Source organism: Homo sapiens, chromosome 2 (genome assembly GCF_000001405.40).
Source record: "Homo sapiens chromosome 2, GRCh38.p14 Primary Assembly".
NCBI classification, from domain to species: Eukaryota; Metazoa; Chordata; class Mammalia; order Primates; family Hominidae; genus Homo; species Homo sapiens.
In genome coordinates this window covers 152,845,921-152,848,759 of record NC_000002.12, presented here as the reverse complement: position 1 = coordinate 152,848,759, position 2,839 = coordinate 152,845,921, and the positions used below count along the sequence as shown (strand labels likewise).

The window sequence follows — 2,839 nt, the reverse complement described above, 5'->3', positions numbered from 1 at the left end:
GGGGAAAAGTTGAAAGCATTTCCCCTGAGAACAGAAGCAAGACAAGGATGTCCACTATCAACACTCCCATTCAACAGAGTTCTGGAATTACCAGCCAGAGCAATTAGGCCAAAGAAAGAAATAAAGGATATCCAAATCAGAAAAGACGAAGTAAAACTATTGGTGTTTGCAGATGATATGATTGTATACCTAGAAAATCCTAAAGACTCCTCCAAGAGACTCTTAGATTTGATAAATGAATTCAATAAAGTCTCAGGTTTCAAAATCAATATACACAAATTAGTAGCACTGCTATCCACCAAAATGACCAAACTGAGAATCCAATCAAGAATTCATTCCCTTTTACAACAGCTGCAAAAAATAAAATAAAATACCTAGAAATATACTTAACCAAGGAGGTGAAAGGTCTCTACAAGGAGAACTACAAAACACTGCGGAAAGAAATCATAGGTGACACAAACAAATGGAAATACATCCCATGCTCATGGGTTGGAAAAGTCAATATTGTGAAAAAGGCCATACTGTGCAAAAAATCTACAGACTGAATGCAATTTCTCTCAAAATATCAACATCATTTTTCACAAAATTAGAAAAAAAAATTCTATAATTCATATGGAACCAAAAAAGAGCCCAAATAGCCAAAGCTGTCCTAAGCAAAAAGAACAAATCTGAAGTCATCACATTACCGGACTTCAAATTATACTGCAAGGCTATAGTTAACAAAACAGTATGATACTGGTATAAAAATGGGACATAGACCAATGGAACAGAATAGAGAACCGAGAAATAAAGCCAAATACTATGTACTGCCAACTGATCTTCAACAAAGCAAACAAAACATAAAATGGGGAATGGACACCCTATTTAATAAATGGTGGCTTGCCAATTTTCCCAGCACAATTTATTAAATAGGGCGTCCATTCCATCATGGAATACTACTGGGCCATTAAAAGGAACAAAATAATGGCCTTTGTGGCAACCTGGATCGAGCTGGATGCCATTATTCTAGGTGACATCAAAAAGTGTATGTGCAAACTTTTAAGTGGGAGCTAAGCTGTGAGTATGCATGGGCATATAGAGCGATATAATGGACTTTAGAGACCAGAAGTGGAAGGATGGCAGGGGGGCCAGGGATAAAAAAAAATACACATTAGGTATGATGTACACTACTCAGGTGATGGGTACACTAAAATCTCAGAATTCACCACTGTGTAAGTCATCCATGTAACCAAAACCACTGGTACCCCAAAAGCTATTGAAATAAAAATAAATAATTTTTTTAAATTGTGGTTAATAAGATTTTCTCACTACATATCCTTACATTAAGCTTCCATTACTTAAAATAACCTTAGCAAATGTTCAACGCAACAGGAATTAAACTGTCACAGGCTGGTGGGGAATGCACACAGCCAGGAATTTTTGCATGCTTGAATCACATTAATTGCATGCACTAGGGTTCAGGAAGGATGACAAATGAAAGAAGACTAACTCCAAAAGGAATATTCCAGCAGTCCACAGGCCTTAACTACTAGCACATGCTGAGTCATGCCGGCTCGCTTTCTCCTTTCAAGGCAGTGAGATTCTATCAGTAGAACAGATACATCTAATTACTTACCAGGGATGCTGAGAAGATTGATCTGGATCAATTAATTCAGTGCTTTTGGAAAGTGCTATATTCTTGCTACATTATGAAAATTACCTAGAAACCACACTAATGATGTGCTGTTGAATTCAGAAAATGAGAATGTCAACAAACAACATAAAAATGAAAGATACTTCTTGGTAAAATGTATCACATCCGTTTATTTTGTCAGGCAAACTTGGGTTCCTCTCATTTAGGACAGACTGCTTTGTGGCAAACTGGCAGAGTATATATTTTATGGTTAGCAATAAAATCTTATTAGTATAAAATCTCATTACAGCTAATGATCCTTAAATCTCTCTTTTGGAGTAGGTCTTGCTTTGAAGGGAGGTGGCAGGTAGACGAATGGATCAAGTGCGGAGAATTCAAAAGGTCAATCACATCAGCAGGCCCTGCCTGGTTCCCGGTCTCTGCAGCCACTCTCCTCAAATCTGCCACCACTGGACCCTTGACCTCAGGTCCCTTCTCTATTCAGGTCAGTGGTTTTCAAACTGGGCCCCAGCGATCAGCCTCAGCTGCATCTAGGAATTTGTTAGAAATGCAGATTCTCAGGTCCCACCACAGAGCCACAGAGTCACAAACTCTGGGGTTGGATCCCAGTAATCTGTTTTAACAAGCCCTGTAAGTGATTCTGACGCTCGTGGAAGTTTGAGAACTGCTGCTCTGCCACATCATCTTCTTATGTGTGACAGTTAACACAATTTAACTATAATGTTTCTTGATTCATTTACCATTTATTAACTTCCACTCTGGCTACCTATTAGAAACACCTGTGGAGCAATTTAAAATCCCTATTCCCAAGATGAGAATGAGGCCTAACAATACAAATGGGGAGAGGGGAACAAGTATCAGTATTTTTTTAGCTTTTTTTTTTTTTTTTAAGAGACAGAGCTCACTTTGTCACTGAAGCTGGAGTGGAGTGGCACAATCATAGCTCATATAACCTTGAACTCCCAGGTTCAAGTGATCCTCCCACCTCAGCCTCCCAAGTAGCTGGAACTACAGGTGTGCGCCACCACACCTGGCTAATTTTTTTTCTCTTTTGTAGAGACAAGTTCTCGCTATGTTGCCCAGGCTGGTCTCAAACTTCTGACCTCAGGCAATCCTCCTGCCTCGGGCCCTGAATGGGCTGGGATTCCAGGCACTAGCCACTGTGCCCAGCCATCAGTATTTTCTCACTCTTCCCGTGGATTCCTA

General features: G+C 39.6%; 1 annotated feature.

Annotated features, from left to right (window-relative positions):
- Window positions 1,250–2,449: an enhancer, noted in NCBI's record as "MED14-independent group 3 enhancer chr2:153702825-153704024 (GRCh37/hg19 assembly coordinates)". NCBI's record gives its function as "activates an origin of replication core promoter dependent on BRD2, BRD4, P300/CBP and CDK7 cofactors, and independent of MED14, by STARR-seq in HCT116 cells {active_cell/tissue: HCT116}" and the evidence as "EXISTENCE:reporter gene assay evidence [ECO:0000049][PMID:35650434]".